Consider the following 11216-nt stretch of genomic DNA (forward strand, 5'->3'; position numbering starts at 1 on the left):
GCCTTCCCGTAATAATGATTCCCCCTGGACTGCCCAGCCAAGGGCCTGCGTCAGCGCTGGCCAATGTCCGGCGTCTGTCTGGCTCTCCCCCTCCCCCTCCTCTCGGCGGTGACTCGCTCTCATTTCACACAGGCTCTGCTTAAAGGTCACCTCCTTAGAAACAGCCTCCTTGGCTACACCACCTAAAACCACACCCCATTCATCTGTATCCCTTTACCTTGCTTTCTTTCCCTTTCTTACACTGACACACTACCTAACTTTCTATCAAATCCTCCTGCGCTATAGAAGTCTGTTTGGATCTCCTCTAAGTATACAAAGAATGTAAACACCACATAACAAACCACATACTCTCTTCGTGCAAGGGAGCAAACGCCTTTTCCATCCTCTCTTGGAAGAAGGATCACACACAGATTATGCAGCCAGGGTGATTCTCCATGGTGGTGTCCTTCTCTTCATAAAGTAGAAATCCTCCTGGCAGCCTAAATCCCCAACCCATGGACAGCTTGAAATTACATACAAATGATTTCTTAAGCAACTTTTACCATAACACAGAACTCTAAAATACCCAAATTTCGGATTTCAAATGGATAATCATAGACCCAGAACACAGTATTAAAAATTACTTTTAAAATGAGCACATATAGATTTAAAACAGCAGGTTTTCTCCACGAGGAACTAAGACATTGACCAAGAATATAAAAGGAAGGAACATAGTCATTCTGGAGCTTGAACCATTCTCAGGGCAGTTGAGCCTACGTGGATCTGTCCAGCCTTGGGCCTGGGAGCAGAAAGAAAGGGGAAATTGGGAGGCAAAGCAAGTGGACCCTTCAGAAGCTTCCACCTCCCTCCTGCTTCTAGGGGAACCCCTCTCACTGACCCCAGCTGCCCAACACCAACAATGTCCCTTTCTCAGCAGTATTCATCAGAACCTGCTCCTCAGGAAGAAAAATTCATTCAAAAATTCAAAATGTTAGAAAATAACGAATCCAACTGATCAGTAAGTCTCCCAGGAGTTGTGTTATTTTAACAGGAGATGTGCAATTCATCCTTAGAAAAGAACCTCAAGGCCCGGTGCGGTAGCTCATGCCTGTAATCCCAGCACTGTGGGAGGCCACGGTGGGTGAATCACCTGAGGCCAGGAGTTCCAGACCAGGCTGGCTAATGTGGTGAAACCCCATCTCTACTAAAAATACAAAACTTAGCTGGGCATGGTGGTGCACGCCTGTAATCCTAGCTACTCAGGAGGCTGAGGCAGGAGAATCACTTGAACCTGGGAGGCAGAGGTTGCAGTGAGCCAAGATCAGACTACTGCACTCCAGCCTAGACAACAGAGCAAGATTCTGTCTCAAAAAATAAAAAAATAAAAAAAAATAATAAATAAATAAGAATATCACTTTATTTAGGAAGCTCTCCCTAACCCCCAAGACTACATTAATTGCTACTAGTTGGAGGTCCCATAACAAATACTCTGTACATGTCTCCATCTTGCATTTGCCACATTTTATGACAGCTTGTATGTCTGTAAGTTCCATGGGGGCTAGGGATATACCAAGCTCTTGACATGGAGCAGGTGCTTAATGAACATTGAAGGAAGAAAGGAAGGAACAAATGAATGAATAACTGCATCTGTTTCCCCTACTGGACCAGGGCACTTCAAGGACAGAAATGGTACCTTATTTACCTTTCCATCTGAAAGGCAGTATAGCATAGTCAAGGTAGGACTCTGCAGCCAAGATGCCTGGGTAAAAATCCAGATTTTGTCACTTAGTAGTGCTAACTGTGCCTCTGTTTCCTCCTCTGTAAACAGGAGATAATTAATAGTACCTACCTAATAGGATGTAATGATTATTAAAAGTATTAATATATTGAAAGTACTTAGACTGGTACCCACCACATAGTATCATGTGTTAGTTATTATTGTTGTTATTAGTTGAATTCTCAGTACCTACCTAGCAGAGATTCAGTAAATGGACACGTTGTGTATCAGTCACAGATGGGCAAAGTATAAAGGTACAAATCCTCCTTTCCCTGAAATTCTGCCTATTTCATGGACACTGCTGGCCCTGGGCACAGAGGATGAGAAAGATGAGGAGGAGGTTTGTCTACTAAAGACAAACTCCACCAACCACTAACTTCACTGTCCAGTACAGAATAGTACTTTATTATATCATGTTCTGAAGCAGTTCTCATTTTAGTGGAATTTTTACCACATTTCTTTAGATGACTACCTCAAGTTTCTGATTCTCTTTAACCAAGAAGACTTAGTTCTTGAGTAGACAAAGTAGACAGTTGAGCGCATTTCTGTTTGCAACTCTTTTATTTGTTGTCTTAGTCCATTTGGGTGGCTATAATGAAATGCCATAAATTGAGTGGCTTGTAAACAACAGAAATTTATTTCTTACAGTTCTGGAGGTGAAAAGCCAAGGTCAAGGCATATTCAGTGTCCGGTGAGGGCCCGCTTATTGGTTAGCTGCGTCCTCACATGGTGGAAGGGGCTAAGCAGCTCTCAGGGGCCTCTTTGACAAGGGCACAAATCCCATTCATGAGAGCTTCACTCTCTGGAATTAATCACCTCCCAGAGGCCTCACTTCCTAATGTCATTACCTTAGGGGTGAGGATTTCAACATAGCAATTTTGGGGACATACAAACATTCAGACATAACATTTGTCTAGTCTCATTGTCTAGTATAGATCTTAATTTTTAATAAGAAAACACACTTAAGGTAAACATTTGGCTTCCCACAACTGAATTACTACTTGAAAATTAATACTAGTTAAGTAACTCACCAAATATACGCAAAAGTATCCTGGAGACAGAGTGATATACAGGTGATTTGTCTTCAGTTGCATATTTTTAAAGCAAATAATGAGTTTTAGATTGATTGTTAAAACTTATTAAAAACAGACTAAAATGTTTACAATAAAACATTTCAAAGTAGATAAGAATATCGAGGCAAAGAAAACATAAAACCTTACCCAAAACAAATTTTCCTCTTCTTGTTTGGATAACTCAAACTAGATGTGGGATCAGGAGATGCCTCAATTAGTTTAAATTTATTCCTATCTGTTGTAACGAAATAAGCAAGGTACGTATGAAGGTTCTATACACACAAACACATGCTGAATTCTGCTTTGTTCTTTGTTTTTCATGCTTTTATTTAGCTTACTCTCTCTGTATATATATAGAGGGAGGGACCTGGTAGGAGGTGATTGGATCACGGGGGCAGTTTCCCCCATGCTGTTCTCGTGATAGCGAGTTCTCATGAGATCTGATGGTTTAAAAGTGGCACTTCCCCCTTCACAGTCTTTCTCTCCTGCCACCATGTGAAGAAAGTACTTACTTATCCTTCCTTTTCTACCATGATTGTAAGTTTTCTGAGGCCTCCTCAGCCACGAAGAACTGTGAGTCAATTAAACCTCTTTCCTTTAATAAATTACCCAGTCTCAAGTAGTTCTTTATAGCAGTGTGAAAATGGACTAATACAGATCCCCCCCACCACAACATTCAGCTGAGTACTCATCAATGTATATATGTGAAGCAACTACCTGAGGCTAGGGAAAAAACTACTCATAATGAGAGGTAACAGTGTCCAGTGTTCAAACAGATCCAATAACAATGTCGGTTTCCACCAGCCAGAAAGCAAGCCCCATGATTCACAGGACATTGGTAGAGTACAAAAGACTTTGGCTGAGGAGTAGGGAAGAATTAGTCCTGGACTGACCAGACCCAGACCCCTGCTCCAGACCCACCTAACAAATTTGAAAAAGTAAGATCTGAAAGAATCGATTTGTTTTCAAGTAACTTCTTTGCATCCCAGAACAAAGCTCAGTAATATTTATAGGAATTCCAAAATATCCAATGCTCAACAAGATAAAATGTACAATGTTTGTGTTATGAACTGAATGTTTGTGTCCCCCTCTAAATTTATGTGTTGAAATTCTAACTCCCAATATGATGATATTTGGAGGTGGGGCCTTTAGGAGAAAATTAGGTCCTAAAAGTGGACCCCTCATGGATGGGATTAGTGCTCTTATAAAAAATAATGTGAGAGCTGGCTTTTTCTCTCTTTGCCATGTGATGTTGGCAATATGCAACCCAGAAGAGGACCCTCACCAGAGCCAACTGTGCTGACATCCTGATTTCAGAATTTCAGTTTCCAGAACTATGAGAAATAAATATTTGTTCACAAGCCACCTAGTTTATGGTAATTTGTTACAGCAGCACAAATTGACTAAGACAGTCTGAAATCTAATAAAAAAATTACTAGGCATGCAAAGAAGCAGAAGAATGTGACTCATAGTAAGAATAAAAATCAATCAGTTGAAACTGACTCACAACTGACATTAAGGTTAGAATTGGCAAACAAGGATATTAAAATAATTATAACTAATAGATACATGAGAGATATAAAAAAAGATTCAAATCAAACTTCTAGAGATGAGGAGTACAATGTGTGAGCTGTAAAGTATGCTTAATGGTATTATTGACAGATTAGACATTGTAGAAGAGATTAGTGACCTTGGAGACATAGACATAGAAGCTGTCCAAAATGAAGCAAAGAGAGAAAGGAAACTGATTTAGTCATGGTTACCCAGACAGAACTGATAGAATACATATATATATAGATACATGAGAAAGGACTGATTATGAGAATTGGCTCACTTGATTGAGGTTGAGAAGTCCCACAACAGCCTGTCTGCAAGCTGGAGAAGCAAGGAAACCATAGTATGACTCAGTCCAAGTCCAAAGGCCTCAGAACCAAGGAGGCTAATGGTGAGAACTCTGAGACTGAGGCTGAAGGCCTGAGAGCCCAGGGGGCTGTCATACAAGTCCTATCGTCCAATAGCCAGAGAATCTAGAGTTATGATGTCCAAAGGCACATCCCCACTCCATAAGAGAGAACAAAAATTCACTCTTACTCCATCCTTTTGTTCAATTCAGGCCCCCAGCTGATTGGATGATGTCCATCCACATTGAAGCTAGATCTTCCCCACTCAGTCCACCAACTCATATGCCAATGTCATCTGGAAACACCCTCTCAAACATTCCTGGGGGAGCCCAATCATTCCAATCAAATGGCAAGCCATCTGGGTTTCCCTTTCAGCAGAAAAGGGATGTGCTCAGTGCCCACTGAAGCACTGAGAATAAACAATGCTTTCCCAGGTACCTAAGTGTCCCTTAATCCAGGCAAGTTGATACCCAAAATCAACCATCACAGAGACTTTTATTTTTTTTTTAATGAACAGAGGATCAGTGATCTGTGGGCCAATTTCACTTGGGCTAATATTTGTGAAACTGGAGTTCCTGAAAAAATAAGATAAGGGTACAAAAATATTTGAAGATGGGAGGCTGAGGCAGGAGAATCGCTTGAACCTGGGAGGCAGAGGTTGTAGTGAGCCGAGATTGTGCCATTGCACTCCAGCCTGGGCGACAGTGTGAGACTCTGTCTTAAAAACAAACAAACAAAATATATATAACTATATATATATATTTGAAGAAATGGCCAGAAAATTTCCAAATTTTATGAAAATTATTAACCCACAAATCCAATTTTGAATTCCAAATACAAGAAATATAAACAAAGCAACATCAAGACACATCATGACTAAATTGCTCAGAAACGGTGATAAAGAGAAAAATCTTAAAAACAACCACATAAAAAAAAAAACCCACACATTAGATACAGAGGAACAAAGATAAGGATGAGAGCAGATTTCTTTTTTTTTGGAAACAATACAAGTAAGGAGACAATGTATCCACATCTCTAAAAGTACTAAAAGATCATTTGATAAGGCAAGCACTACCTTGATACTAAAACCTAACAAAGAAACTACAAGAAAACTACAAGTCAATATTGCTCATAAAGTCAACCTCTCCATTTGCAGACAACATGGTCATGTATGTAGAAAATGTGATGGAATCTATTTTTTAAAAATACTAGTACAAATTATTTTAGCAAGATCATAGGACACAAGATAAATATGCAAAAACCAATTGTATTTCTATATACTAGCAATGAACAACTGGAAAATAACTTTTTTAAAATAATGCTATTTACAATAGTATCAAATATATGAAATAGGGATAAATCTGACAAAAGATGTGAAAGTCTTCTACACTAAAACTATAAAACATTGGCAACAGGAATTAAATTAGACCTAACTAAACAAACAAACAGATATAACATGTTCATGATTCAGAAGAATCGATATTATTAAGATGTTCATTCTTCCCAAATAGACCTATAGAGTCAACCCACTGCCAATCAATATAGCAGAAGGCTTGGTTTTTGTAGAAATTAACAACCTAATTCTAAAATCCAAGGGACTTAGAATAGTGAAAGCAACTTTGAAAACAAAAACAATGACTAGCCTAGGCAACATAGCAAGACCCCATCTCTACAAAAATAAAACATTTAGCCAGGCATAATGGTGTGCACCTGTAGCCCTAGCTACTCAGGAGGCTGAAGTGGGAGGACTGCTTGAGCCAGGGAGTTGGAGGCTGCAGTGAGCTATGATCATGCCACTGCACTCTAGCCTGGGCAAAAGAGCAAGACCATGTCTCTAAAAAAAATAATAAAAGAAAAGAAGAACAAAGTTGGAGGACCAATGCTACCTGATTTCAAGACTTTCTATAAAGCTAAACTAATCAAGATAGGTATTATTGTCATAAAGATAGATGTAGAGCCATGGAACAAAACATCCAGAAATAGACTCACATATAGATGGCAACTGATTTTTTACAAAGTCACAAAGGCAAAGCAGTGGAGAAAGGATAGTCCCTTCAACAAACGGTACTGGAACAATGAGATATTCATATGCCAAAAAAATGGACTTCATGTCTTGTACTATGTTTAAAAATTAACTCAAAATGGGCCATAGGCTTAAATGTAAAACTAAATATTATACAGTTTCTATGAGAAAACATAAGGAAAAAACCTTTGACTTTGGGTTAAACAAAGATCTTATAGACCCAACCCCAAAAGTATAATCCAAAAAAAAAACAAATTGATGAGTTAAACTTCATCAAAATTAAAAACTTCTGCTCTTTCAAAGAATGAAAAGACAGGCACAGTCTGGGAGAAAATCTTTTAAAATCATATATCTAATGATATGATTAATTCAGAATATATAAAGAACTTCCAAAACTATATTATAAGAAAACAACTCAGTAAAAACCTGGGCAAAAGATTTGAACAGACACATCATCAATGAAGACAGACTAACAGTAAATTAAGTGCATGAAAATATGCTTGACATCATTATCCATTAGGGAAATGCAAATTAAATCCACAGTGAGATACCACTACATACCTATTAGAGTGACCAAAAAGAAAAAGATTGACCGTGTCAGTGTAGGTGAGGATGTGGAAGAAATGGAAGTCTCATATACTGCTGCAGGGAATGGAAAATGATACAGACATTTTGGAAGACAATTGACAGAGTCTTTGAAAGTTAAACATACACCTACCATATGATCCAGCCATCCTGCTTCTAGGTGTTTAGCCAAAAGGAAAGGAGCTATATATTCATTCAAACACATGTGGATGAATGCTCATAGCAGCTTTATTTGTAAAAGAAAAACTGAAAGAACCCAAATTTCCATCCACAGATAAGTGAATATACTGTATAGGGTATCTGTATAATGGAGAGTGACTACTCAGCAATGAAAGGAAACGAACTATTAATATACATACACTTCAACTTGGATGAATCTCAACATGATTATTCTGAGTAATAGAAGCAAGATAAAGGACTCAGAGAGTACACACTATAAACTTTCATTTAGATGAAATTCTAGAAAAGTCAAACTAACTTATAATGACAGAAAGCAGATTAGGGATGGGAGGGAGAGATGACAAAGGGGCACCAGGACCCTTTTGGGATGATGAATATGTTCACTATCTTGATTATAGTATTACACACATGTCAAAACTTATCAAATAGAACAGTTTTAGTATGTACCACATGTTGCATGTCGATTATACCTCAATCGAGTTGGGTTCTTTTACAATTTTAAGTTTAAAATTATCTGTGAATAATACTCTTAACCTTTAGCCCTTGGCTTTGGCCAAGATGCCTTCTCATGCATAATTCTTTGCAGAGAAAGCTACATCTCCTTCACTTATGGTGGTGAGCCAAGGGGTAAACAAATGCTTTAATCATTGTGATAGCCATAGTTCTAGCACTTGACTCATAAGAAGTACTTAGTGTGTGTGTAATAATACTTCATGCTTAGAAGTTATATGGGTCTAAAATTCAATAACGAACTATACAAATGTGATTTGTAATAAACTTAAAAGGTGACATCTATGAAGCATTGCACATCACAAGAGCATGTATTTCTTTCAAATACACAGAAGAAAATCGAGGAACAACTGAGCAAGGTCTACCCTGCAAGGGGTCCTGAGGATGGTGATCCAGCCAGTGAGTCAGAATCTGACTTACGCCCAGGAGCCAGCTACCTCAAAGTGCTGAGCACATCAAATTCAAAATGGCTGGTGAAAATGCTTGCCTCTGGTAGAAGAGCTGCAAGTAAATTGGACATCAGAAGGAAAACAATTTAACTCATGCAAACACAACTCAACTAAAAACAGAGATTAAAGAGAGCTGCTGTAACTCACACCAAATATTTAGCAGCTGCAATTTTCATTTTTTACTGCCAAGTTCAATTCACAAAAACAACAACAATATTTATTTAACATCTGTTATGTGGCAACAGTGTGGTAGTCATCTTTAAGGCTGTTAAGCATTTGAATAAATTATAGGAGGCAATGAATCTCCCTTCTAAGAAATCTTTCTCATTTGGATACAGAATGTGTCTATACAAAATGAAATATGCGTAGATCTTCCAAAACAAGATCTTCTTTGTGTAGCTCTTCCAAGACAAGATCTTATCTATGACTTTTTTTATATATTCAAGCTTTCATGGCCATGATACCTTACATAAAAAACTAATTGCAGCACAGTTCACAATAGCTAAGATTTGGAAGCAACCTAAGTGTCCATCAATAGATGACTGGACAAAGAAAATGTGGTACATATATACAATGGAGTACTATTCAGTCATAAGAAAGAATAAGATCCTGTCATTTGCAGCAACATGGATGGAACTGGAGATCATTGTGTTAAGTGAAATGAGCCAGGCACAGAAACACAAACTTCATATGTTCTCACTTATTTGTGGGAGCTAAAAATTAAAATAATTGAACTCATTGAGATAGTAAAAGGATGGTTACCAGAGGCTGGAAAGGGTAGTGGTGGAGTAGGTGGAAATGGGGATGGTTAATCGGTTCAAAAAAATAGGATGAATAAGACTTAGTATTGGCTAGCGCAACAGGGTGACTATAGCAAAAAATAATGTAATTGTACATTTTAAAGTAACTAAAATAATATAAATGGATTGTTTGTAACACAAAGGATAAATGCTTGAGGGGATGGATACCCCATTTACCCTGATGTGATTATTAGGCATTGCATGCCTATATCAAAATATGTCATGTAACCCATAAATATGTATACCTATTATATACCCACGAACATTAAAAATAATTTTTTAAAAAAAATTAATAGGATATTATGTCATTTCCCCCAGGTCTGGCTCAGTAATTCCCCATGAACAATGTAGAGGACGTATTGTCTAGTTAACTTGGTTAAATAAGGACTCAATGAATGGGGAAAAATGTATTTGGAAATTCTTTCCTAAAACTGAAATACCGTGGTCATCCATTCATTAAATAGTCACTGAATTCCTACCATGTCCTGGGAGTGTGCAGTGGTGAACAAGCCAGACATGTGGTCTTTGCTCACATGAAGCCTATGGGGAGACAGGAGATCCAAAAATAAATATACCATTACACGTTGTAATTAATTGAAAATATTTGTGTATACTAGGAGGCAGAGAAAGCCCAGTGTGCTGCCTTACTGTAATTTCCAGTCTCTCCAGAAATAAGAAAGGCACTGCTCCACTGCCTTTTAATTGCAGCTTTTCTATGTTTTTGCATTAGGAGTAATTATGTGCCCTTGACATTTTTGTGCTCAGAGTGCAGCAATCTGCCTAACAAGCATGGCTTGCTTCTCCCTGGACATAACTACTGAGTAATTGGCAGGCAGGCCGGACTGACCTGCGCCACACACAGAGCCAGAGCCCGCTGCCAATGCTTCAGGCCCAAGGGCTGTGCTCCTGGGTGCATAGCACAGAAAAGACTGCCAGGCTGTGTCAATCTTTTTAATCATGCTTACGCATATAGGTTAACCACAGTTATGTAAGCAGGTTCTGAGAAAAGGTGAGAAAGAGAATGGAGAGTTTTGCTACAACAGAGGCAGGATTCTGAATTTATTTCCAGCTGCCCATCTTGTCCCTCCTGGAGACCTAACCCCTCCAGCACCTACACACACAGCCTCTTTAGAAGCAACTATCCTGCCACTGGCTCAGAAAGGCTGAGTCCTAAGAATTCTAAAATCTTGCTCCTAAGAAATCTCAAGCTTCTTTTGTGGTAAGTGGCTTAATGAGACAGGGTAAGTGATAAACAAGAAGAATCATTGTATCATTTTATGTTTTTATCATGTTGTCATTGCACTGGCTAAGTTCATCTTTGATGGTAAAATACTAACGCAAATTGAAGCTGTGATAAAAGGGCTTTCAATATGAAATAGACAAGACATATAATGGAAAGAAATGCTTCCAGAATGGATTTCCATAAAAACGTGGCAAGACTTTCTCAGTGCCATTCTTTAAAATCTCTGCTATTTTTCAACAAATGCCAGATGTTAAAGCATTTGCATAGTATCCCTTGGAGGGTTGGGTGTAAAGACATGCATTAATATCAGGTTAATAGAAAATATCTACAATAACAAAATGTCCACACACAGATGCTCAATAAATGCCATAGCACTTGTTATGACTAATTATTATGAAGTACACGGACCCCTTTTCATATCAAATAATTTACTAGACCCTCACTTATAGATCTTGTACTCCTACTTGGTTGAGAATGTATCAAAATAACTAAAAATGTCACTGTGAATTTCATTAAATCTTGTATAAAGATCGAAATGTAGGCCTCCAGCTGTGAAATTTAGAATCTCATCTTTTACTAGCCTTGACCAGCTGTGAGTGAAATGCCAGATCAAAGTTTATTTTTCATAAATATTTAAGTAATGTCACAATTAGCAATGCTATTCTAGATAATTATTTAATTTCACTACATATTATA

The 11216-nt window shown here is 38.1% G+C and overlaps 1 protein-coding gene across 1 annotated transcript in view; it reads left to right on the plus strand.

Moving 5' to 3' along the window:
* Positions 1 to 10344: 10344 nt before the first annotated feature.
* Positions 10345 to 11216, plus strand: part of TTC39C (tetratricopeptide repeat domain 39C) — a 142714-nt gene continuing 141842 nt past the window's right edge. Inside the window, exon 1 of the mRNA NM_153211.4 lies at positions 10345 to 10496. The gene's annotated coding sequence lies outside the window, so the exon portion shown is untranslated. The remainder of the gene's footprint in view (positions 10497 to 11216) is intronic.

This window comes from Homo sapiens, chromosome 18, assembly GCF_000001405.40.
Source record: "Homo sapiens chromosome 18, GRCh38.p14 Primary Assembly".
NCBI classification, from domain to species: domain Eukaryota; kingdom Metazoa; phylum Chordata; class Mammalia; order Primates; family Hominidae; genus Homo; species Homo sapiens.